This window comes from Homo sapiens, chromosome 7 (genome assembly GCF_000001405.40).
Source record: "Homo sapiens chromosome 7, GRCh38.p14 Primary Assembly".
Classification (NCBI taxonomy): Eukaryota; Metazoa; Chordata; class Mammalia; order Primates; family Hominidae; genus Homo; species Homo sapiens.
The window spans coordinates 110,433,373-110,460,972 of NC_000007.14; the positions used below are offsets into that span (position 1 = coordinate 110,433,373).

At 37.4% G+C, this 27,600-nt stretch overlaps 2 long non-coding RNA genes across 2 annotated transcripts in view; one reads left to right on the plus strand and one right to left on the minus strand.

Annotated features, from left to right (window-relative positions):
- LOC105375451 (uncharacterized) overlaps window positions 1-27,600 on the minus strand; it is a 173,872-nt gene that overhangs the window by 72,527 nt on the left and 73,745 nt on the right. The gene's annotated exons all lie outside the window — the stretch shown is intronic.
- Window positions 3,002-26,511, plus strand: LOC105375450 (uncharacterized). Its single transcript, XR_927862.3, has 3 exons — window positions 3,002-3,229; window positions 9,918-10,080; window positions 23,054-26,511. It is a non-coding gene; the product is annotated as an uncharacterized LOC105375450 (long non-coding RNA).

Below are 27,600 nucleotides of genomic sequence, written 5' to 3' on the forward strand. Positions count from 1 at the left end.
TCACTTAAAGGTGATAACTTTCTTAGGAGTAAAACTGTCCACTATGGAAATCTGAATTAATTGGCAGCATTTTTAAATTATTTCTCTAATGTTTAAGAGCATGTCTTAAAATGGCTACTTGATTGCATCACATCTCCAACTGTCCCAACTTTGAGCACCCTTTTGGTCCATTGTGTTGGGGCAAAGAGTCCAGTGTGAAAAGAAGTTAAAGCACTTCTGCCTATAACGTCTTTCTTATTAGTGTCTTTTAAATTTTTTTGTCTGTTTGTTTTTGTATGTTTTGGCTTGTTCTTAGGTTCTTTCCCTGCCCTTGTAGGTCACTCCAATGGAAGGATAACAGAGAGCTGGAGTACAGTCTACAGAAAGGGAAGCATCATAAAAAATACTTAAACTAGACTTCAGTTCTTCCCAGAGGCTCCTCCTGGCTCTCCCATCATGGAATCCACTGGTTCTCAAACTTTAGTGTGCATCAGAATCACTCGGAGGGATTGTTAAAATACTGATTTCTGAGCTTCTTTCCCAGAGTTCCTGATTCAGTAAGTCTGATGTGGAGCTGGAGCTTCTGTGTTTTTAACAAGTTCCCAGGTGATACTGATGTTGCTGGTAAGGGACCACACTTTGAGAACCAATAATTAACCAACTCATTAGAATTAGATTTCCACAGAGAAATTTTGAGTCGAAATACAAAATATTTGTAAGTTTTTGTTTTGTTTCATTTTTCCTGCCCTTCTCCTTTGTAATTCTCCTTTTCTAATAAACCTGCAGTGGTGGTAGGATGCTGGTTGAAGAATCATGTAAGAGTTCTAGACACTGCTTTATATCTTTGAGCCTTGGAGACATGAGCAACGTTAGGCAACGTAGGTTTTTTGACTCCCCTCATAATAATAATAACTATTATTATACAGTATATGTAACATAATACATAATTATTATCATCACTCCTTAACTTCTAAGACGCAACATTTGCAGTTCATCATTTTTATTTATTTATTTATTTATTTTTGAGACAGAGTCTTGCTCTGTCGCCCAGGCTAGAGTGCAGTAGCTCACTGCAACTTCCGCCTCCCAGGTTTAAGCAATTCTTGTACCTCAGCCTCCTGAGTAACTGGGGCTACGGGCATGCACTACCACACCAGGCTAATTTTGTATTTTCAGTAGAGATGGGTTTTGCCATGTTGCTCAGGCTGGTCTTAAACTCCTGGCCTCAAGTGATCCTCCCGCCTCAGCCTCCCAAAGTGTTGGGATTACAGGCATGAGGCACGACACCTAGCCATATTGATTTGTTTATTGTTTACTTCTGTGAGTGTTAAGAAGTTGGAATCAGTGATTCCCTTAAGCTCTGTAGAGGAAGAATTCAGTGAACACGGACAAACCTTACATTCTGCCTTGTACAGCAAGAACATCATCAAGATACATTCAGAACAACTTTTGTGCAATTTATACAGGAATAGCTGTCATCATCAGATAAGTATCTAAATGAAAAACAGGAGTTTAATGATATTAACATATTAAAAAGTATAGAGAAAATGAGAAATGAGTCCAAGAAAAATAACTTTAGTCCACAACTGTACACAATATAAACTGGGTGGGGGGAGCCTATTTAGAGAAAGCACATAGATTTGATTAATCAGCTTTAGAAGGCAAATAAGTATGTAAAAATAGAAAACTCTGGAAGATTAAAAAATGTAGAGATTTTAAGAAAAATATAGGAGAAGTTAAGCAAAAGAAAAAGTCCTTTGCAAACAACATCACTACAAAAGGATGATTTTTTGAAGATTAAGACTCAACCCAATCCTGAGTTAGTATCAGTGCAGTATCAATCCAATCCTGACATTTACGTCCCACACAAATTATGACTTGAATTATAATCTTGAAGTACTATGAGATGCTCATTTATAAAAGAAGGATGAGATTACCTTTATTATATTTTACTAAGCTTAAGTGAATATTAAACTTAGAAAATCATTCTACATACTTTCAGAGCGATTTACAATAACCAGAATTGAACCAAAAGAATATTCTGCTTAACCCATAATTAATCAGACAGGAAGGACATAGAAAGTAGTTCAGAGAGAAGTTACTGAACTCAGACTTCCTGGATGCTTATACACTACACACTTACTTACAGTTTAATCTAAGACTCAACTGACACATCTCTGAAGTGGAGCTAACAAGTTAGCACCAACTTCAAAATTTTGTTGGAAGATTTAAATTAGATAATTTTTGTGAAATTCTTATGCTGTGGGCACATGGTGAGAGGTCAATAAATATCAGCTGTTCTATTGTTACTAGTAGTAAGTGTCATATTATTGTGGTTAATAAGTGTCTTAGATTTCTATTGCTGCAGTAGCAAATTACCACAAATTTGGTGGCTTTAAATAACACAGATTTATTGTTTGTTATCTGCTTGTCTCTTCCACTTATAAAGACTCCTGTGATTTCATTTTAGGCTCTATCTTACCAAGTAGAAAAATTCCACACAGCATTGCCTCTGACCAAGGCACTCACTTTACAGCCAAAGAAGTGTGGCAGTGGGCTCATGCTCATGGAATTCACTGGTCTTACCGTGTTTCCCAACAACCTGAAGCAGCTGGATTGATAGAACTATGGAACTGCCTTTTGAAGTCACAATTACAACACCAACTAGGTGACAATACTTTGGAGGGCTGTGGTAGAGTTCTCCAGAAGGCTGTGGATGCTCTGAATCAGCATCCAATATATGGTACTTTTTCTCCCATAGCCAGGATTCATAGGTCCAGGAACCAACGGATGGAAGTGGAAGTGGCACCAGTGACCATCATCCCCAGTGACCTACTAGCAAAATTTTTGCTTTCTGTTCTCATGACATTATGTTCTGCTGGCCTAGAGGTCTCAGTTCCAGAAGGAGGAATGCTGCCACCAGGAGACACAACAATGATTCCATTAAGCTGGAAGTTAACATTGCCACCTGGCCACTTCGGGCTCCTCCTACCTCTAAGTCAACAGGCTAAGAAGAGAGTTACAGTGTTGGCTGGGGTGATTGACCTGGACTATCAAGATGAAATCAGTCTACTACTCCACAATGGAGGTAAAGAAGAGTACGTGTGGAATACTGGAGATCCCTTAGGGTGTCTCTTAGTATTACCATGTCCTGTGATTAAGGTCAATGGGAAACTACAACAACCCAATCCAGGTAGAACTACAAATGGCCCAGACCCTTCAACAAGGAAGATTTGAGTCACTCCACCAGGTAAAACCACGACCAGCTGAGGTGCTTGCTGAAGGCAAAGAGAATACAGAATGGGTAGTAGTGGAAGGTATTAATCAATACCAGCTACAACCACGTGACCAGTTGCAGAAACAAGGACTATAATTGTCTCGAGCATTTTCTCCTTATTTTATTAAGAATATGTTTGTGCCTGTATACACTTGCATAAGAAAATATCTTCCTTTTCTTTTCTCTTTCCTTTATCATGTGACATAAGATTTATTGACTTCATATCAGCATTTAAGTGTTGTTAACTTTATGTTATAGCATTTAGGTTAAGGATTAGCGAGCTTCCAGTTGTACGAAGGATAGCTGTATTATGTTAGGTGTAATTATGACCTTATTATTGTCTTTATTTGGAGATTAAGTATGATTTCAAGAGATGTATATGGGTTCAAGTTGACAAGGGATGGACTTGTAATGGTTAATAGTAAGTGTCAACTTGACTGGAATGAACAGTGCAAAGTACTGTTTCTGGGTACATCTGTGAGGGTGCTTCCAGAAGAGATTAATATTTGAGTCAGTGGACTGGGAGAGGAAGACCCACCCACACCATCCAATCAGCTGCCAGCGTGGCTACAAAAAGCAGGAGGAAGAAGGTGGAATAAGCTAGCTTGCTGAGTCTTCTGGCTTTCATCTTTCTCCCATGCTGGATGCTTCCTGCCCTTGAACATCAGACTCTAGGTTCTTCGGCCTTTTGACCCTTAGACTTACACCAGTGGGCTGCCAGGAGTTCTTGGGCCTTTGGCCACAGACTGAAGGCTGCACTGTCAGCTTCCCTACTTTTGAGGCTTTGGGACTTGGATTGAGCCACCAGTGACTTCCTTGCTCTTCAGCTTGCAGAAGGTTTATCGTGAGATTTCACCTTGTGATCATGTGAGTCAATTCTCCTTAATAACTCCCTTTCATATATACATCTATCCTATTAGTTCTTCCCTAGTCTTATCCTCCTCTGACTCTCTTCTGCCTGCCTCTTCTACTGTAAAAGACACTTGTCATTTCACTGGGCCTACCCTGATAATCTAAAATAATCACCGCATCCTACATCTTAATCACATCTGCAAAGTTCCTTTCGCCTGTAAGATAACATATTCTCAGGTTCCAGGAATTAGGGTGTGGAGATAATTAGAGGCCATTATTCCACCTACTGCAATAAGTTACTCAGTACATCCCAATAATCTAGTATTCTAGTTGAGGTTTCATCAAAATTTACAGAGAAGCAATACAGTTATCTAAGCTACTTACATTTCAAATTTAGCCACAACAGATTACTCTAGCCCTCTCTTTCAAAAAAAAAAAAAAAAATCTACTGTAGGGCATTAATTACTTTCAGTAAACACCTACACAGCCCCAACTTAATTACAATCTTTCTACTTATATTTTATTATATGTGGATTTGTGTTTTTTTAATTAAAAAATAATGTATTCTGTCAAAAATGCAAATTAAGTCATAAATACCAACATTGATTTTACAAGAAATTACTAAATATCTTTCCTTTGATTACAAACCTCAATAAAGATATTCTGGCTTTAGAAATATTAATTCACTAATCCCATTCACTCTGGATTTACTGAAAGGAAAACAAAAGTATTTCAAAGGGCTTGCCACTGTGATGGACATTTCATTTAGCAAGTAGAGAAAGAAACAGATTTTTATGCTTCATGTTGTTCCTATTTATACATTCTTTTTCTTCTATTCTAACTTTTATTTTGGGTTCAGAAGTACATGTGCAGGTTTGTTATATAGGTAAATTGCATGTTGCAGCGGTTTGGTGCACAGATTATCTTGTCACCCAGTTATCAGCATAGTACCCAATATACTGTTTTCTGATCCTCACCCTCTTCCCATCTTCCACCCTCAAGTAGGCCCCGGTGTCTGTTGTTCTTTTCTTTGAGTCCATGTGTATTCCGTGTTTAGCTCCCACTTATAAATGAGGGCATGTGATATTTGGTTTCTGTTCCTGTGTTAGTTTGCTTAAGACAATTGCCTCCACCTCCATCCATGTTGCAGCAAAGAACATGATCTCATCCTTTTGTTGTTGTTATTGTTGCTTTAAAACTTTTTTTTAATTTTATTATTATTACACTTTAAGTTTTAGGGTACATGTGCACAATGTGCAGGTTTGCTACATATGTATACTAGTTCAACCATTGTGGAAGTCAGTGTGGCGATTCTTCAGGGATCTAGAACTAGAAATACCATTTGACCCAGCCATCCCATTACTGGGTATATACCCAAAGGATTATAAATCATGCTGCTATAAAGACACATGTGTACGTATGTTTCTTGTGGCACTACTCACAATAGCAAAGACTTGGAACCAACCCAAATGTCCAACAATGATAGACTGGATTAAGAAAATGTGGCACATATACACCATGGAATACTATGCAGCCATAAAAAATGATGAGTTCATGTCCTTTGTAGGGACATGGCTGAAACTGGAAACCATCATTCTCAGCAAACTATCGCAAGGACAAAAAAACAAACACCACATGTTCTCACTCACAGGTGGGCATTGAACAATGAGAACACATGGACACAGGAAGGGGAAGATCTCATCCTTTTTATGACTGCATAGTATTCCATGTGTATGTGCACCACATTTTCCTTATCCAGTCTAACAATGATGGGCATTTAGGTTAATTCCATGTCTTTGCTATTGTGAATTCTGATGTGATGAACATACATGTACGTGTGTCTTTATGGTAGAACAATTTCTATTCCTTTGGGTATATACCCAATAATGAGATGGCTGGATAGAATGGCAATTTTGTTTTAAGTTCTTTGAGAAATTGTCAAACTTCTTTCCGCAACAGCTGAACTAATTTACATTCCTATCAACAGTCTATAAACATTTCCTTTTCTCTGCAACCTTGTCAGCATCTGTTATTTTTGACTTTCTAATAATGGCCATTCTGACTGGTATGAGATGGTACCTCATAGTGGTTTTGATTTGCATTTCTCTAATGATTAGTGATGTTGAGCATTTTTTCACATGCTTATTGGCCATATGTATGCTTTCTTTTGAAAAGTGTCTCTTCATGTCCTTTGCCCACTTTTCAATGTGGTTGTTTTTTTGTTTGTAAATTTTCTTAAGTTCCTTATAGATTCCAGATATTAGACCTTTGTCTATAAGATGCATAATTTGCAAATATTTTCCAGCATTCTTTTATTAAACAGTGAAATGTATCTATAAGATATGGCAAAACCACCAAGTAGTAAAACTTGTATGAATTAATCAAGCATTATATAAAAACAAAAAAACCTATTCAAAGATGATCAGGCACCATTACACTAAAACTTAAAATTGGTTCTGTAACCTGATTATACAAATATATTCTTCTAATTAGGGTAGATTGATGAAACCCAGGTATTTAGAATGAGTACTCAGAAAAAAAAATGGTTCAATTAATCAACTCACAACCGCTTCCATAGTTCTTTGTACTGTTGATTCTTCTTTATGTGAAAAATTACTCATGAACAACTCATATAAAAGAAAAGTGGCATCCATAAATATGATAGCAGAATATATATGGCAAAAAATATTCAGCAATTTACTCAAAGGAAAGCTGTTTTATTACTACTTATTTTATAATAATGTTCTTGGTACTGGACAAAAACAAAACAGAAAAGCATGATCATTTTGCTCTTGACAAACACTTATTTTTGTATCTAATATTCACAAAAAAGATGAGTATTTGAAATTATGTATAATTAAATGATAATCCATAATCACTCACCATTAAGTAAAACATATGTTAATTAGAGAGTCTAAACTAATTGCAGGCTGTCAGATACATATGAGTAATACAAATTTCTTATTTTCATAATAGTGTATAATTACGTATTTCACAATAGACTAATGGAATTTCAGGAGCCATCACATTGTATGGTGCCTACTTGTTAAACAACACGATGAATAATTTAGAAAGAACTGTTTCCTCCTTTATGCTATCAAAAATGAATTAAAGCCAAATAAAATTCAGGTCCAGAAACCATAGTCACCTTATATCAGTAATCTAAAGAAAAAAGAAAGATCAGGGTGATTCTTTGTCAGGATGATTTTTATTTTTTAGTAAACGTGTAGTGTTCAAGGACTGAATATTGGTATGAAGCACATCCCTATTGGAGCCTATCCAATAGGGTTTATTGGTTGAAGTACCAAATATACTGACAAAATAATAAATTCATCAATTTTAGTAGTAATTGTCCAAAACACATTGAAAATCAATTATTGGTTTCTTCCTTACACCATATTTTGCTTCTGAACAGAATTAATGCAAATGAGAAGGGCAATAATGTGGAGGAACAAAAATAATATTGTCACACTTCTATCATAGGTATCTTTGGCATGGGCTTTTTTAGCCTTATATCAGATTCCAAAAGACATTACACTCCAAAGGCCATAGACATTCTCAGCTCAGTGGGCCACGAGATGGAACACTGAATGTGACAAGCTCAGTCCACAGAGTCAGTACTCACACAAGCCAGGGTTCTACTGATGACCCAGAAATCCAAGTTACTTTATAAAAACCACAACAGCAACATTGGGTTTTCCATACCCTTGTCATTTTAGTCCTATAATACCATAATAACACAATAAAACTCAGGCAGTACCCACATTATAAATTAAGATCTTACCTTTAGCCATAATAGCAGAAGTTAGAGGCCATCATTCTTTTATCAACATTTATTTAGCACCTACTAAGTTTCAGCACTGGGATGATATACTTTCATTTACTATTTAATCTTATCACATGTTATTTCATTTAGCCTTTAAAGGGGAAAGTCTAAGTTATTTTGCAAGTTAAACATACCAACATTTCTATTTTACAAGGGAAAGTTCAAGTATTTATGTAATTTTTGATTCTTTAATTATTCTAATAATCCCTCCTCATCTCTGGTTTTTATTTTGCCTAGATAAAAATGGTCTATGTTTCACCTAAATTCTCTTAGAGGCAATCATATTTTGTTACTAGTGATACTTGTATTGGTTTTAATTGCTAAGTATTAAAATTATCTTTTTTAAGAATAAAAAGTCAAACATAAAAATAAGAAATCAATCCCTTTGGTCTCGACACATTAGTTCTAATTATTAAGTCTGTGAAAATACATCAGCAGTTCTTTTTTTTTTTTTTTTTTTTTTTTTGAGACGGAGTCTCGCTCTGTCGCCCAGGCCGGACTGCGGACTGCAGTGGCGCAATCTCGGCTCACTGCAAGCTCCGCTTCCCGGGTTCACGCCATTCTCCTGCCTCAGCCTCCCGAGTAGCTGGGACTACAGGCGCCCGCCACCGCGCCCGGCTAATTTTTTGTATTTTTAGTAGAGACGGGGTTTCACCTTGTTAGCCAGGATGGTCTCGATCTCCTGACCTCATGATCCACCCGCCTCGGCCTCCCAAAGTGCTGGGATTACAGGCGTGAGCCACCGCGCCCGGCCAGCAGTTCTTTAATGTAATAACAAATAGAAAATATTTGATATTTTCTGACATGCGAGAGGGAAAGAAAATAGGAAAGTGTGTAATAGGGTATTTTTTTTTTTCAGCCAATCTCAGCATTAGTTAACTTCCTGGAAAGAAAAAGTAGGCAGAAATAGGGGAGCTATTTAATGATAATTAGATGACAAGCTGGGATTCTCAGCTTCTAAAATAAACGAGCCCTTTCTCCAAACCATCTGGGAGCAACCAAATTGTCCTTGGTGTTCCTACTACCACAGAGACTTGTCACTTCAAAACAGAGGGGAAGGGCCTGAAAACACATACATGAAAATAGCTCACTGGACTGAGAAATCGTGCTGCAGCCTTGTTGACAGGTCTGAGAATTACAGTTAGGTCATTAACAAGGACTTCAAACTGCAGGGGAAGGATCAGCTGTCATCGTGGCTCCCCCTGTAGGGCAATGGCACTCATTAGAATGAGGTGATTGCATTTCTACTGGGCCTTGACAGGCTGTCCTCAGATACCAACCTAAGACTCCCTCTCTTGTTCATCATTATCAGCAAAAGTATCTGATAGTTTTCCCTCCTTGAGCAGATGTGTAAACTAACAGGAGAATACGGCCTGTCAAAATGACAATGTGCATTGATTCCTCTTATCTTGATGTCTTTGGGAGGACAGCTTATCTCAAATTTACAAAAGAAGGAACTCCGTATCAGTGTTTCTTCTCAGTAAATGACAAGGGCAGGCCTGGTGTATAACTAATTGCCTGTTTCCAAAGCAACATTTAAAATGTAATACAAAGCATTCACCCACTATAAACTGATGAGAGACTACATTTGCTTTTCAATAAATAAAGGCACATTATTTAGAAGGGATTAAAAATACTGTTGCTATTGCAAAAGTATAAAAATATGCATAATTTAAGTGAAATTACAGCATTATAAAATAACTTTAAGATAAATACTAACCTATAAGTTGGTAAAATTATATATTTACCCAATTAAATATATTTGTGGGCTACAAATAATACTAAGATGTATGTTAGCCATGAGGGAAATTTTTTTCTAGACATATATTGGGATTGCTTTAGGATACAGCTCTTAGAAATTCATAACATTTTATTCCTGTACTCTTTACTTTTTCTCTATTTTTATTTCTGAATGCATAAAGGTTGGGACAGTATCATATTTTGTATCAAATGTTGAAAGCTCCCTATTATTTTATAATGTAGGTATTTAATAAGAGTGATTGACCAATGAACAAGAGAAAAAGACAAAATTCAACTCACTGCCTACCACCACCTTCCAGCCATCCCTCCTATACCTATTCTAGAATATAGTGTGAACCTGAAAATTGGAAGGGGAAAGTCGTACACCTGAAAGAAAAAAATAAAAGTAAGTATTATTTATAACTAAGTCCATATTCCCCAAAATGAGCAGCTAAAAATAATACCCTGAGTTCTTTTTCTTTCTTTCTTTTTTAACTTTTATTTTAAGTTCAAGGGTACATGTGCATGTTTGTTACATAAGTAAACTTGTGTCATGAAGGTTTGTTATACAGATGATCTCGTCACCCAGGTACTAAGCCTAGTACCCATTAGTTTTTTTTATTGATCCTCTCCATCCTCCCACCCTCCATCCTCCAACAGGCCCCAGTGTGTGATTTTCCCTTCTATGTGTCCATGTGTTCCCATCATTTAGCTACCACTTATAAATGAGAACATATAGTATTTGGTTTTCTATGCCTGCATTAGTTTGCTAAGGATAATGGGCTCTAGCTCCATCCATGTCCCTACAAAGCACGTGATCTCGTTCTTTTTTATGGCTGCATAGTAGGATGGACTGGGCTCACTCTTTCAGCCCTCCTGCATCTTTGAATCCAGTTCTTAAGCTTAGAGCCTAGAAGCAAATAGCTAGAGAGGAATCATCTATAATTATCTAGTTGTTATGTCTGGGGTATCACATCCATTCTGATCTTGAAGTTTGGATCCATGTTGAAATCAATCTGAACTGTTTGACTCATAGTAATTACTAAGTATGTAACAATGAGCAATCTACAGTATTTAATTTCCCTGTATCTCAGTTTCCTCACCTGTAATGTGGGGATAATGGTATCTATCTCCAGTGTTGCTAGGAAAATAAAATGAGATATTCCACATAAAGTTCTTAAAACAATGCCTGGTACATGGTTAGTTTTCAATAAATGACAGCTATCTTTACAGCGAACACTATTAAATTAAATAATGACTAATAACTATGGTTCAGGCCAGTTCTTCAAAATGGACACTACACATCAGGTAAACCCCATTAGTAAATTATTTTCTGGGATTAAAAAAGATAACCCACTGCCGTAAGATTTTGCACACGTCTCCAAATATGATCACTCTGACTTCTATGAAGTCAAATAAACTCTGAGATCCTGGCTGAATTCTATTCAGACAAATCAATTCCTCTGTTTAGATGATATGTCCTTGAAATGTGTAGCCTCGAAAACAAAAATATTTAGAAAAATGTGGGCTTTGTTGTGATAATTCTCTTTTACAGAGGAAGGGCTGGAGTACAAGAAACACATAACTTACTCTGATAGAGTTGACGCATGCTTTGAATTTTGAGTGCTTTATCTCTATTCTTAATATAGACTATTGATAGGTATTCCCAAATTTATTTGCTAGCTAGCTGTGTAAATAGAAAATACTACATTCCTCCCAGAATACCGGATTTTAAAATTAGAAAGCTCTTCTCCACCTGCCTTCCCACCCAGCCATCCCCCTTCAAAAAAGAAAAAAGGGACCAAAATTATTACTTCAGTACCTGTCTGTCAACTTCAGAGTGAAGGAAAAGAGGAAGCAATCAATGTGACACCAAGTAAATGGTTCATGCCCCCAAACATCAACCGAGTCCCCCATGTGTGTAACGTATAGTTTAGATTGGCATATCAGACTTAAACAAACCGGAGATCTTAATGGGTATTAAGTTTTACAATAATTTCAAGGACAAAAGTAATCAACAGACTCAGACACAGCAGAAAGATCAAGGGCTTTAAGGGCAGTTCTCCAAGTCCTATCTTCCCATGCGAAACATGGACTTCTGGCCCAGAATAATAGATGAAATCTCTAAAAGTGAAGTCTCCAGGGTTACCTCCTATTGCAGCAGGAGTCTTTAATTGTGAAACATCTCCATTTAATATCCTAGAGAATTGTAGAACTTACATGGCATTCTCCAAGATGACATGCCTCATAGATTCTAAAGTCTTTCAAATAATTCATTAGCCAGGGAACAGTACCACTCTCAGACTCAGCCAAGCAGGGACCCTGACCTAGGACCAGCTCCTCAGGTGGTCCTGGAGGGCTCTATGCTTTGAAATCCCTTCACTGAAATGTTCTAAGTCCTCCTCTACAATTTTGTACTGTCCGAAGTTAGCTTCTCAGGCATGGTACCCTGAAACCTCACACCCCTCCAGCAGAGTGCCTTCAAACCTGTTCCTGCATGGATCCTGGTCACCAGAAGCACCTGCCTCAAAATTTTCAGAGTCTCTCTCTGATCACCAGGGCTGGCTTAGACCAACTGTGCTATCTCATCAAGGTGTTACTTCCCAGCACCAGATCCTAAGTGGGTCACGTTGCCAGAAATACTGTCCTCAAAAATGTCCGAGTTCCCCTCTGGTAGTTGGAACTTCCTGGAGTTGGTAGTGCTTTGTAGTTAGGGTGCCACATGTGCTGTGCTTTCCATTTCTTCTCTTTGAGGCACTCTCTGATCCTCTATATTATACGTGAAATTGACCAGTTGCCTGGAAGAACTCTGGGACTTGCATCTTTGATATTGCTGTGTGGTTCAAGGGCACGGTTCTAATTCAAGAAAATCAGCATTAAAAGCAGATTACTCCCAATAGAAAGCCCTAATATTTCTTTTATTAGATCTCATGAGATTCAGTCATAGAATGTGCTTACACACAGATTTTTTTGTGGTTCTCACTCATGTCAGACAGAGGACAAGTTCAGGACTCCGGATTTCTGAAAGTTCAACACAAACCCTTGGGGATAAGCCATTTGTTTGGGCCTGTATTATCAGCTCTCACCTGTGCATGTACTGACAGTGGTGCTCCCTATAGTTTTAGTACCCAAGAGTGGTGGAGGTGGTGGCAGGCATCCCTTACCCTGTGTACCTCCCCTCTAGTGCTAGCACTCAAGGCAATCACTCTACCTCTTCAGCAGGCTCCACACTTCCAAGGTGGCCACATCTATCTCTTCTAAGGATTTTTTTCAAGCATTGCTTTGCAACACCAGTGGGCAATTTTAATTAATGACCTGTCTTACCTCCAATTAATGTGGTGATGTCGTGTTCTCCAGGGTCAGTCTTTTTTTTTTTTTTTTTTTTTGAGACGAAGTCTTGCTCTGTCACCCAGGCTGGAGTGCGATGGCGCAATCTCGGGTCACTGCAACCTCTGCTTCCCAGGTTCAAGCAATTCTCCTGTCTCAGCCTCCTGAGCAGCTGGGACTAAAGGGGCATGCTACTATGCCTGGCTAATTTTTGTATTTTTTTTTTTAAGTAGAGAGGGGGTTTCACCATAATGGTCAGGCTGATTTCAAACTCCTGATCTCAGGTGATTCACCTGCCTCAGCCTCCCAAAGTGCTGGGATTATAGGTGTGAGCCACCGCGCCCGGCTTCTCCAGGGTCAGTCTTAAGCAGATCTGGACAAAGGACAAATATCCCTTGTACAAATGAGATCCTTCTTTTTGCTCTGCCCATGAGTCCCTTGCTTTTTACTTACTGTTGTTGGCGAGTGGAAAGCAGAGATGTTATCAACATTGAAAGACATTACGTCATAGGAACGCAGTGATGATTGCCTGAAGAGTTTAACATGGTTGGAATATGTTCTTCTATATTTATGCTATAACATTCTAAATAATACATTTAACATAACCAGAAAATATGTTATTATTCATATTTTCTTGCATACACTGTGAAAGACTTACATTTGTGGTCATCACCCCCAAAGCACAGTAATAACATTTGAGACAGTCCTTAGAATTCCATATTCATGGGTGGTATGATGGAGAATGCAGCACCCTGAGTAATAACATAATCGTCACTAACAAGATGGCATTAGGGAACTATAGAACCAAGAAGATCAGTGGTGTTTCAATACAAATAGGTTTGAAGATCCATGACATTGTGAATAATAACAGTAAAGCTACATTTTTCTTGTGGTAGAAAATATAAAATTTGCCAAGAAGGACACATTTGACAAGAAAGCACATGAAGAACATGGCTCCTGGAATTGAACAAAAAGAAAAGATGACTGGGCATTATAAAATATTATAATGTGCTCTGATCAGAAAATAAGCAAATATTTCAGTACCACTTCTCTGCTCATTATTATACATTTTCGTCAATATATCTCTATATTTTACATATATGTATTAATTTTGTAATACATTATATATTGAATCAAATTGTTTGTACACCCCCAGTGCATCTCCAGAAAATATTTACCTGGGGCTTCAAATGCCCTAGGGGCAGTCCTGTAGGGAACATCCTCATAGGAATACTAAACAGATAAAGTCTCTTTTCCTTGGGTAATATTATTACTCTATATACTCTAGGTTCCAGTTGACAAAGAGATTTGATGGGATCACCTGCCTTTTTTTCTTTCCCCTTGGGATATCACACAGAATAGAACACAAACAAAACACAGATCAGCTGCTTCAATTCCTTTAATTTTGCAAAGAACCCCTTAAAACACTGCCTATGTTTGGATTCCCACTTCACTCCTTACTAGCTGCATGACATCAGTTATTTAACCTCTTTATGTTTCAATGAACAGTACTTATTACATGTAAAGCATTCATATGTTTCACAAATATTTATTGAACACTCACTATATACCACATAATTGTCTAGGTGGTTGAGAAACATCAGTAACAAAAGCAAAGATTCATATCTTTACGAAAATTCTTCGGAACTTCTTCCCATCATCATAGCCTTTTTCCTATATGCTTTGTAAGTTTTTTCATCTTTAAAGAAAATTCTGCTTAAAACGCAAATATTCTACATGGAAAATACAGTTACACATACCAAACAAGAGCCTAATTATTAGTAAGTATCCAAGTAAAGCTCAGTTGGTAACTAAAACCACAATAATGAGATGCTGGTCAAGTCTCATCAGGTTGGGGCAGTGGTGCACGAGTAAACTGGTGCAAAAGAAAAGTTTTCATGTGTAGATTTTGCTGATTTCTATGAAATATTCCCAGTGTGGCCATTTTCAGGTTACCAACAGTAGCTTGCAACCAGCTTGCAAAATTCCTGAATTTTTAACAATCAGCTCAACAGTATAAGTTGGTCTCAGCTTATCAACTGGGTTGGGAAGAAGTGGGCAGTAGGATCAAAGCAAAGCAGACAGAAAGGAGATCCAGCAGAAAGGTAGACATTATGTCAAGGAAATTTTGTCCTATACACAAAAACACATAGACTGGGTTCTGGTCTTCTCCACGCCTTTGCATTCCACACGCAGATGAGTTTTTAAATTTGCTAATAAAAGCATTCAATGTTATTTAGAAAAAATAATAGCTAAAGCAATCCGCTGACCTTAGCCTTAACAAAAGCACTAATTAACCACCTAGTAAAATAATGTCAAAAGAAGGTAATATTCATCCAATTTAAATAAAGTGGTAATCCTAATGTATTTCAGCACTAGTGAGAGTGTATCTGACATATTTTGACTACTTTGGACATAATATTCATACACAGGTACACACAAATGTATACACACATAGCAAACATCACAAAGCATTTACCATATGCCAGGAACCATCTTAAGAATGAATACAACTTCTATGAGGGCAAGGATATTTATTTTAGCCATTGATGTTTCTCAACCATCTAAAAGACTGTGTGATTCATGGTATATAAATATTCAATAAATATTTGGTAAACAAATGAATGCTTTACTTATAATAACTAATCTGAGGCAAAAAAAAAGGTTCAAATAACTGTCCAAGTTCATGCAGCTACTAAGAAGGGGAACTGGAATTCAAACACAGGCAGTCTTTTAAGGGGTCTTTGCAAAACTAAAGACTAGAAAGAGGAAGAGAAACAAGTGTGAGTTGCCAGAAATTTAAATGGTAGAATGGTTAGCAGATCTAAGACCATTTAGTTTAGAAGAGACAAAACTCAAGTTAGAATTGTTTTGACCTAGTGAAATATTAATTGTTTTGATAATATTGCCCAGTACCTCAGGGTACTACCTGGAATAGGAAGTGAGACAAAGAGGAATCTAATATAATAGATTCCAGTGAGTCAGAATTTCAATTCAAAATAAGAAGTTTCTGGGAATTATCACTGTCCAACAATGCAGTAGAACAGAGAACAAACAAGTGACCTAACCTCTCCCGACTCCTTTCATGGAAAAGTATTCAGGCAGGGGACAAAGACATGGTCCTTGCGTGAAGTGGGAAGTTAGACTACATGGCCTCTAGGATTTTCCCAGTTCTAAGATTCCTTGTTTAAAATAGGGACAATAATTCAATAAATAAGTCATGAAGCATCTTTGCCATTTCATCTACAACTAAACCACAAATAGGCTTAAATATATGAGAACATTTTGATATATTTGTCTGGTTTGAAACTGTTCTATTTTTTAAATCAAAATGAAACTCAACAATTAGACATAGACTAATAACTGGAGAGAATAACGTTTGCAAATCAACCCCACCTATAAAGTCTCCAAATCATCGCATATTCAATAGCATCTAAAATTTTAACCTAACTAATATTTCAGGAAGTACATAAATTCAATAAGAAATGTTTTTAATCAGTCATTTATTCATTAACATGTCTCCAAGGTATGGAAATTAGAAGAGGTTTTCTTACAAAGATCAAGGGGTAATATCCCATGGTAGCAGGTCAATGCATACATATGAGTTTCTTATTTCTCAGTGGATCCTTCAGAAAAATGCATTGAGTACCAAGTTGTAATGTAGAGGTTATGCATAAAGCTACTGAAAATGATTCATTATACTCTCAAGCATTAGCCTTGGGGAGCCTGGCATATGATAAATAATAAGAGCATTCTATGGAAAAAAACCTAGAGCACTTTTTGTAGTCAGAATCTCCTCTGGTGATTTGATTTTTATTTTTGGATGTTCTTTTGGTACCATTAAGGCCAGGATCTCTGTACCCTTATGCAAGTTAGAAAAAGGTCCCTCTTGGGGAGACCAACTCCAAAACACAACTCTTCCTCTGACTATCTTCCCCTTTCCCCTTCCGATGGTCATGACTTGGCAAACAGAGTCTGAAGTAGGTCCTTAAGCCTCAGCCAGGCACCCTTATGAGGGTATGATCTAAATAAGTATTTGTGGAAGCCTAGGTTCTTAGTCTATTTGTGCTGCCATAACAAAATACCACAGAATGGGTAATTTATAAATAATAGAAATTTATTTCTCATAGTTCTGAAGGCTGGGAAGTCTGAGAGCAAGGTATCAGATGGTGAGAGCCTTGTGTCTCTGCTTCTAAGACGGTGTCTTGTTGCTACAACCTCTGCAGGGAAGGAGCACTATGTCCTAACATAGGAGAAGGGTAAAATGGGGTTCCTCCACCAAACCCTTTTATAAGGGCACTGAATCCCATTCATGAGGGTGGAGCCCTATTCAATCACTAAGCCCCCCTAAAGGCCACACCTCTTAATACTGTTGCACTGGGGATTAAGTTTCAACATGAATTTCAGAGGGAACAAAATCATTCAAACCATAGCATCTAGCTAGATATTTAACCATAGAATGGTCCTGACTCTGAAGAGTAGATTTAAAATAAAAGTTTAAAGAAAAACAGCCTAAACCAATTCATTAACTCTCCTATGCATCACTAGGACCACCTAACAAATGGGAACATCCCAGAATCTATCAAAATGTTATCACGTATATATCAAAATGTTCTCATATATTTAAGCCTATTTGTGGTTTAGTGGTAGATGAGATGGCAAAGATGCTTCATGACTTATTTATTGAATTCATCCCAGTGAATCTCCAAATAATTATTTTTTACATTCCATTATCAAACCTAGAACTTCTCACAACTGGTGAAAACTCAAAAATTGGCCAGGTGCAAACTACTTTTGCTCAGGATTAAGGCTACTTTTGCCTTTTAATCCCAATAGCTGACTTGCTCTACTGGAGTTGAGGTAATCCAAATTTACTACTGATTTTTTTATTTTTCTTTCAAACCTCATTTTTTGGTCTTTTCTTGATCTTGAGTACTAATGATACTCCAGATATTGTTTGGACCACACCTTCCAGACCTTAACCTTCCTTCATGCTCCTGATAATTAATCAATTATTTAATCTTTCAACAACTATTCATTAAGCATATGCTTGGCACTGGGCTATGTTAGGAACACAAAAATAATTAGGATGAATTTCTTACCCCCAAAAAGCTGACTGACCAGTAGAGCATTCCTGAAAATAAATATTTTGATAAGTATTAAAATACAATCTGATAAGGTCAAAAATAGAAATAATTAATCATGCAGAAAATGAAACTGAAGCCCAAAGAGAATTTGGTCACCTGCTGAAGTGACAGAACTGAGGCCAGAACCCAGGTCTCCTGACCCTAATCTGGTGCTGTAATCACTACTTTCTTATAGCACAGTTGTTTCTATTTGGTTAATTTACTGATTAAGTAATTCCTTCATTTTCTCAGAAAGTATACTTTCTGAACAAAACTACAGATTATTGTAGCAAGAAAACTATGAAATCAACATAGAAATTGTAAACCCAGAATTTGCAAATTAAATGAGGAAGCACAGAGAAAGAGAAAACAAGGAAAACTAGAAATGAAGAATTAAAATACAATATAACTTTATAAAATGAATGGATCAGATTACATTGCATAAATTTTCCACACCTTTGCCTACAGTTTGTGACATTCACAGCATACTATTAACCAGGGTTTTCTATTTGACAGATATTATAATAGGTCATGTTGAGCACCTAAATTTGCACATGCATTTCTTATTTTGACATTAAGTATTTTTCTTTTATGTGCCATGAAGACATAGGAATACTTTGTACATTTTATAATTGTAAACATAGTTCCATTTAAAAGTAACAAAAAGTATCATATTTTTTCAGAGTTCAGTTTTTGCAAAGTTCATATTAATTTGAGCCCCTATTTGGTTAATGACCTTTACCTTTTAACTGGTCAACCAAACCAGAAATAGAGAAAAGTCATCAGATCATCTCTGGGCACATCTCCAGATCCCATCAACTATGTGGATCCCCATTTGAAACAACCCCCTACACTTCAACTAACACAGCTTTTATATAATTTTCACCTAGGCTATGGCAACTGCCTCCTAAAATGCCTTTCCATCTCTGGCCTTGAACTCCTCCACTATGTTGCTACAAAGAGTAATTTTATACAAAACAAGTCTCCAGGACTTAAATCCCTTTATTGGTTTCCACTTGCTAAAACAAAACAAAACAAAACAAAACAACAACAACAAAAAAAAACAGTTCAATCTTCTGTATATGTTCTTCTTGACTTTACCTCTGTCTGCTTTTCCAACTTAATCTCCCCCGCTATCTTCTTGAACTCAATTTCTAGCCATAAAATCTACTTAAATTTCTTCTAAATTTACCATCTTTGAGAACTCATGCTTATTTACATCCTGTTTCTTTTCATTAAAATGACATTCTTAACCTTACTTTCCTAACAAACATCCATTTTTTCTTGCTTATCTTGGTGTATACCATTATTGTAGCATTCTTTAAATGAATACCGCTTACTTGTTGCCAAATATTTCTTCCCTGTTAGCTTATGAAATTGTAATGCAAGAAATGTGACTTGTGCATCACTGCATTCCCATATTTTAGTATAAGGTATGAAACAGAGCACCCAACAAGTGGTAGTTAAATTCAACACACAAATATTAGAGTGATTCTAGGGAAGACTGGACTTTTTAGAGTTTGAGCATTTGAAAAACCATATCAGAGATAGGAAAGAACTAGGTGTTCTGGATTGTCTGTTGACACCCTGATACAACTTCTACTATTCCCATTCAAGTCTGAAAACTTTGTTTCACAAAATTCTCTCCCTGTGTGTTATTAGATTAAAATTTGCCAATGAGAGGACTTCATAAATTATTTGGAAGGCAGAAGTGAAACAGAAGCCATTATTCTAAGGAAACTGTGGAAATCAAACATGATGACTCCAGTCACTGTGGTACTTCCACAGACCTCTCACGGGCTCCCACCTTGTGGTTTCACAAACGTCCTATAAGCTTTTTTACTCATGCCAGTGCCAGAGCTTAATAATGATGTGATTAATGGAAGTCTCTCTGATCCTCCAGTTGCAGGCCTCCAGACAAATCTCCACCAGCTACACACAAATTTGTGTACACATGAATTCTTACTTATAAATTTGATTTACACTTATTTCTGTCATCCTTGTAGTCCCTCAGCTTTTCTGAACAAACCCAGACTGACATAGCTTTTGGCACTAAAGTGGATCCAGGGGTACAGAATATTAAAGATGGGAATCTGGAATTGGTTCTAAAATGTGATTAGATTTAAAAGCACTAATAACCTCATTGCCAGTAATAAATAGGATACTTATAGACCATGATATTTGAAAACTAATTTCTTGCATTATCACCTGGAGTTACCTGGAGTTGGATGCCTATGCTTTGGGTGACTATCTTAGTTTATGCTGCTATAACACAATGCCATAAACTGGGTATCTTATAAACAACAAGCTTTAATTTCTCACAGTCTGGAGGCTGGGAAGTTTAAGATCAAGGCACAGCAGATTTGATGTCTGGTGAGGACCACTTCTTCACAGATAGTGCCTCCTTATCGTGTCCTCACATGGTGGAAAGAAGAAGGGAGCTTTTGGGGGCCACTTTTATGAAGGCATGAATCCCCTTCTGGGGGCTCCAATCTCATAACCTAATCATTTCCTAAAGCCCCTATCTTCTAATACCATCACCTTGAAGATAGGAGTTCAACATATGAGTGTTGGAGGAACACAAACATTCGGACCATACCAGCGACCTACTGCTACCCACTATTTTTTTTTTTTTTCTTTTAGACAGAGTTTTGCTCTTGTTGCCCAGGCTGAAATGCAGTGGCACAATCTTGGCTCACTGCAACCTCTGCTTCCTGAGTTCAAGTGATTCTCCTGCCTCAGCCTCCCAAATAGCTGGGATTACAGCTGCCCACCACCACACCCAGCTAATTTTTTTTTTTTTTTTTTTTTTTTTTTTAGTGGAGGCGGGGTTTCACCATGTTGGCCAGGCTGGTCTTGAACTCCTGACCTCTGGTGATGCACCCATCTCAGCCTCCCAAAGTGCTGGGATTACAGGTGTAAGCCCATGAGCCACCGCAACCGGCCCACTAATTTTTTAATTAAAAAATTTATAATCAAAATACAGATTATAAGGACAAAGAGGAAAGAGGGCCGGACATGGTAGCTCACGCCTGTAATCCAAGCACTTTGGGATGCTGAGATGGATGGATCACCTGAGGTCAGGAGTTTGAGACCAGCCTGGCCAACATGGTGAAACCCCATCTCTACTAAAAATATAAAAATTCGTCAGGCATAGTGGCGCACACCTGTAATCCCAGTTACTCGGGAGGCTGAGGCAGGAGAATCACTTGAGCCTGGGAGGCAGAGGTTGCAATGAGCTGAGACCATGCCATTGGACTCCAGCCTCGGCAACAAGAGCAAAACTCCATCTCAAAAAAAAAAGAGGAAAGAGATGGTTGCCTGTTTTAACTGTACTAGAAAAAGCAAATGATGAGGTCAGGGCTTTCTATTTCTATCTTGAGTTCTGAGTAATGAAAGTGAAATATCTACGACTATCCTGAAAAATATACCTTATAACTTTTAGCTGCAGGTTTGAAGTTTTTGAAAACGAAACCCAAAGTCTGATACTACATGTGATTAATTAAAATGCAAATCAAATGTATGGCTCCTCAGATTCTCTTACAGTACTTTATCTATAACATTGATGGGGAAAGAATGAGACCCTAAAGATTGGGATAGAGCTATTTAGATAAATTGCAATGAACACCCAAATTCCACTCAGTAGAAACCTACGCTGTCAGAGTAAACTCACCTTCCCTTACTGAAGAACCTGTAGACTTATGGAAGAATGCTGACTCTCAAGTGCCACCCCATCAACTCTTTTGCTTCTAAACCTATAACTGAACTCAAACCTTAAGAAAAATACAAAGTCTAATCCTGGAGGATATACTATACACACAAAAGAATTTTAATATTTTGACAATTTGTGTTAGTGAAAACTAGAAGAATATCTTTGGGAATTGATTGTAAGAGTGTTAGAACAAGGAGAAAGAAATACACTGTTGGATTCAGCTAGGTTTATTTATATGAGTGCACTAACAAGTAATTTTGGATTCCATATATTATTTTGAATTGTTAGGAATAAGTCTAATAGCCTTGTTTTATTCAGGGTTTCCCAAAGAGACAAAACCCACAGAAGATTGGTAGATATAAAGATTAGATAGATGATAGATAGATAGATAGATAGATAGATAGATAGATAGATAGATAGATAGATAGATATAAAATTTATTAGGGGAAATGACTCATGCTGTTATGGATATTAAGTCTCAGGATAATCTGACTGTAAGACGGAGATCCAGGGATGCTTGTAGCATGGCTCAGTCCAAGCCCAAAGGCTTCAGAACCAAGGAAGACAATGGTATCATTCAGGCCAAGTCCAAAGACCTGAGAACGTAGGGGACCAATGGTGCAAGACGCAGAGTCCAAAGTCCAGAGCACCTGGAGTTTTTATGTCTCAGGGCAGAGGAAGAAGGGTGTCCCAGCTCCAGGAGAGAAAAGGGGATAGAGAGAGAGGGAGAGAGAGAGAGAGAAGAGAGAAGAGGGAGAGAATTTGCCTTTCCTCTGTCTTTGTGTTCTATCCAGGCACCCAGCCAAACGGATTGTGCCTGCCTTCATTGAGGAGGAAAAATCTTCCTCACTCAGTCCATCAACTCACATTCCATTCTTCTTTGGAAATACCCTCTCAAACACACCCAGAAATAATGCCTTACCAATTATCTAGGTATACCTTAATCCAGTCAAGTTGACATCTAGAATTAACCATCACAGGCTTGTCAGCTGATTGACTGTAACTGAGTCCCTGTGGTGGCCAAAGTGATCTGAAGAAGGCAGTATCCAAAGGCTTAGGGAGACAGGGATGCTAGAGTGGATTTTTTTTGTGTTCCACTACTCATCTACTCCTTCTCGAAGTCTTTCAGAAATACATTCGGGAGGATTAAACGAGCAACCTTCAAAGGTTCTTTAATGGTTTTTGTTTTTTTTTTTTTTTTTTTTGCATGCCAGGAATGACGCTGGGAGAGGTATCAGTGGAACAGACTCCTAGAAGACAACGAGAATGGTGGGATTCTGAAGTGGCAGGGGCCATATGATGCAAGTAATAGTTACTGGCACTAATTGACAAGGTCAAGGTGGGCATTGTTACCATAATACACAACAATCATTGATCTGATAGTAGTCAGGTAGTATGACCTACAGAGATCTTTGTAGCTAAATAATTATAGTCTTAGGACTAATACAGGTGAACAGCCTACTAAATCAAGTCTACTTTGATTTTTATAAGCAAAATTGTTAGGACTGGTAGATGGAGCCCTGAATTGAATCACTACAATAGAGTCATGCTCCTTAACCACTTCCCAGACTTGAGTGGTTTGTAGACTCAGAGCAGCTTAAATGAAGAGAAGGTTTGAACCCTTTGAGGAAGGATACTGCCACACTGCCAAAAATGTATGTGGTAAAATATCCATTTAGTCTTTTCCGGAAGAACCTGGAACCATTTACCAGGGTGCTTGTGCTTTAGGGAAATAAAAATAACTGAACATCTTAGGGATTGCTAGACACTGCCTTTGAGCTGACACAAATTCTTGGAGACACAAAACAGCAAAGTGATTCACCATTCAGAAAGGGGATGTACGAAAGCCAGGCGATTCATGTCATTTTGGCTCAGCCCATCTACAGTGGGTCCCTCAAGCCACCTTGTAGTCATGTTCCTAGTTCTAAAATGAAAAGTTGGAATGGATACACTCAGCAATGTGGGCTTCCACTTGCCAAGGTTAATCTGGCTACATCAATATTGAATGCCCAACCTGCCAACAGTAGAGACAAACTGTGAAGCCCTGATACAATGGCATTCCAAAGGGTGACCAGATAGCCATCTGAAGGCAAGTTGATTACATTAGCAAATTTCTTTCATGAAAAGGGCAGCCATTTGTTCATACCAAAATAGACATGTATGCTGGATCTGATTTTGCCTTCCCTGCCCAACAGTTTTCTGCTGGTAAAGAGAGCTTAGTTTCCAATCAAATAAGGCCTCTACAGGGAGTTAAAACAATGGTTACATTAAACTAGAAGCTAAGAATGCCACCTTGTCACTATAAACACCTTTATGCAAATAAACTGGAAAATCTAGAAAAAATTGATAAATTCCTGGACACATACCCCTCCCAAGACTAAACCAGGAAGAAGTCAAATCCCTGGATAGACCAATAACAAGTTCTGAAATTGAGGTAGTAATTAACAGCCTACCAACCAAAAAAAGCCCAGGACCAGAAGGATTCACAGCCAAATTCTAAGAGGTACAAAGAAGAGCTGGTACCATTCCTTCTGAAACTATTCCAAACTATAGAAAAAGAGGGACTCCTCCCTAATTCATTTTATGAGGCCAGCATCATCTTGATACAAAAACCTGGCAGAGACACAAGAAGAAAAGAAAATTTTAGGCCACTATCCCTGATGAACACCAGTGCAAAAATCCGCAATAAAATACTGGCAAGCTGAATCCAGCAGCACATCAAAAAGCTTATTCACCATGATCAAGTCAGCTTCATCCCTGGGATATGAGACTGGTTCAACATACCCAAATCAATAAACGTAATCCATGACATAAACAGAACCAATGACAAAGAAACACATGATTATCTCAATAGATGCAAAAAAAAGGCCTTCAATAAAATTCAACACCCCTTCATGCTAAAAACTCTCTATAAACTAGGTATTGATGGAACGTCTCTCAAAATAATAAGAGCTATTTATGACAAACCCACAGCCAATATCATACTGAATGGGCAAAAGCAGGAAGCATTCCCTTTGAAAACCGGCACAAGACAAGGATGCCCTCTCTCACCGCTCCTATTCAACACAGTATTGGAAGTTCTGGTCAGGGCAATCAGGCAAGAGAAAGAAATAAAGAGTATTCAAATAGGAAGCGAGGAAATCAAATTGTCTCTGTTTGCAGATGACATGATTGTATATTTAGAAAACCACATCATGTCAGCCCAAAATCTCCTTAAGTTGATAAGCAACTTCAGCAAAATCTCAGGATACAAAATCAGTGTGCAAAATCTCAGGATACAAAATCAGTGTGCAAAAATTGCAGGCATTCCTATACACCAATAATAGACAAACAGAGAGGCAAATCATGAGCAAATTCCCATTCACAATTGCTACAAAGAGAATAAAATACCTAGGAATACAACTTATGAGAGATGTGAAGGACCTCTTCAAGGAGAACTATCAACCACTCCTCAAGGAAATAAAAGAGGACACAAACAAATGGAAAAACGTTCCATGCTCATGGAAAAGAAGAATAAATATCTGAAAATGGCCATACTGCCCAAAGTAATTTATAGATTCAGTGCTATGCCCATCAAGCTACCATTGACTTTCTTCACAGAATTAGAAAAAAACTACTTTAAATTTCATATGGAACCAAAAAGAGCCTGTATAGCCAAGACAATCCTAAGCAAAAAGAACAAAGCTGGGGGCATCACGCTACCTGATTTCAAACTATACTACAAGGCTACAGTAACCAAACAGCATGGTACTAATACCAAAACAGATATATAGACCAATGGAACAGGACAGAGGCCTCAGAAATAATGCCACACATCTACAACCATCTGATCTTTGACAAACCTGACAAGAACAAGCAATGGGGAAAGGATTCCCTATTTAATAAATGGTTTTGGGAAAACTGGCTAGCCATATGCAGAAAACTGAAACTGGACCCCTTCCTTACATTGGTTTTTTTTCTTTAGAGCTTGTATACTTGAATTCTTTTCAAATTACCACTTTAATATATGTTTGAAATCAGTGAATACAAAGGTGTACAAGAAAAAAGTTTATCATCTGTATCATGACACTTCCTCTATTGCACCTTCCTGAGATAAGCCATGTCAACAATATGGTGTGTATCTTTCTAAACATTTCACTTAGTTTATTAAAACTTACACGAGACTTTGCATGCATAGATACGGTTGGTTTTTTTTAATTCCCTTTGCTTTGTTGCTCATTTTAACATAATAAAATCATACTGCAAATAGGATCTGCAACTTTGGCAAAATATTTATGTAGATATAAGTACATATTATTTTTTACTATTTTCCACAATTGAAATCATATTTGACATACTTTCATACATTCTGCTTTTGTCATTCATAAATTCTTTAGATCAATTCCTCCAAGCCAACTGGCATAGCTCTAATTCATTTGTTCATTTAAATAACTAAAATAAATCATGGTTTGGATATTTTATAATTTATTTAGGCATTGCCCTAGCACTGAGCAACATATTGCTACATGCCACTAAAACAATGCTAATAAAAACATCCAAAAGAATATCTTTATTTGCTTTTATTTGTGTAGGATAGATATGCAATAGTGACCTGTGAATTGTCTAGGGCTAAGACTTTTTATTTTAGTGATTGCTGCCAGGTTGTTTTCCAAAATAGGTACAACAATTCATATTTCTGTCAGAATATATATGAGTACCCAAGTTTGTTAATATTAATTTTGAAGGTTTGTTGCTTTTGTTTGCACTTTCCTAACCATTTATTTAATAATTTTGGTGTGTTTATTGGTCATTTGGTTTTTTGTGAATTGATCACATTTCTAGTGGTTTGCTTCTCTTGTCTGCCTTGTCTTTATGTTGTCTGTCGGTAAGACTTTTTTGTTTCGTGCGGAAATCTTTATCTCATCTCTCTTTAAAATTTTTTTGTATTGTACAGAGATGTACCCCTTACTTCCCATCTAGGCTACAAATAGATAGTTCTGCAATCTGTTTTTTTTAATCGATTTTGTCCGTTGTACTTTTTGCCATACAAAAGTTTTATGTTTTTACATGCTCAAACATTTTCAATTATACAGCTTTCAGTGTAAGCTCCATCATGCAAAGAGCTTGGAAGCCATCACTCCCATTCTTTCAAGAAAAAGCAATACAAATTGAAAATCAACAACTTTTTCTGGATCTGTTAGAGAACTGGAGTTGCAGACAAACCATTACCCCCAAATCTGGAGAGACAGGCAGTGAAAAATATCATAGATCAGAAACTTGAATGTGCATTAAAAGAAGATGGAAGAGGAGGAGGGAGGAGGAGAGGGGAGGAGAAGGAGAGGAGAAGGAGGAGAAATAATAGTGGAGGCAACTATATTTTTATTTTTTCCCTTTTTTTTTTTTTTTTGGAGGCAGGGTCTCATTCTGTCGCCCAGGCTAGAATCCAGTGGAGGGATCATAGGTTACTGCAGCCTTAAACTTCTGAGCTCAAGTGATCCTCCCACCTCAGCCTCTGAAGTAGCTGGGGCTACAGATGCTCATCACCACATCCAGCTAAATTTTTAAATCTTTTGTAGACACAGCTTGCTATTTTGCCCAAGCTGGTCTCAAATTCCTGGTCTCAAGTGAATTTCCTGCCTCCACTTACTAAAGTGCTGGGATTATAGGTGCAAGCCACTGCACCCAGCCTATTTCTACTTAATTGATCTAAAAGATACCTATTTGTTTAAAGCAATATTAGTAACAATGGGTAACTAAAATAAATAGCATTGAGGTGACAAGG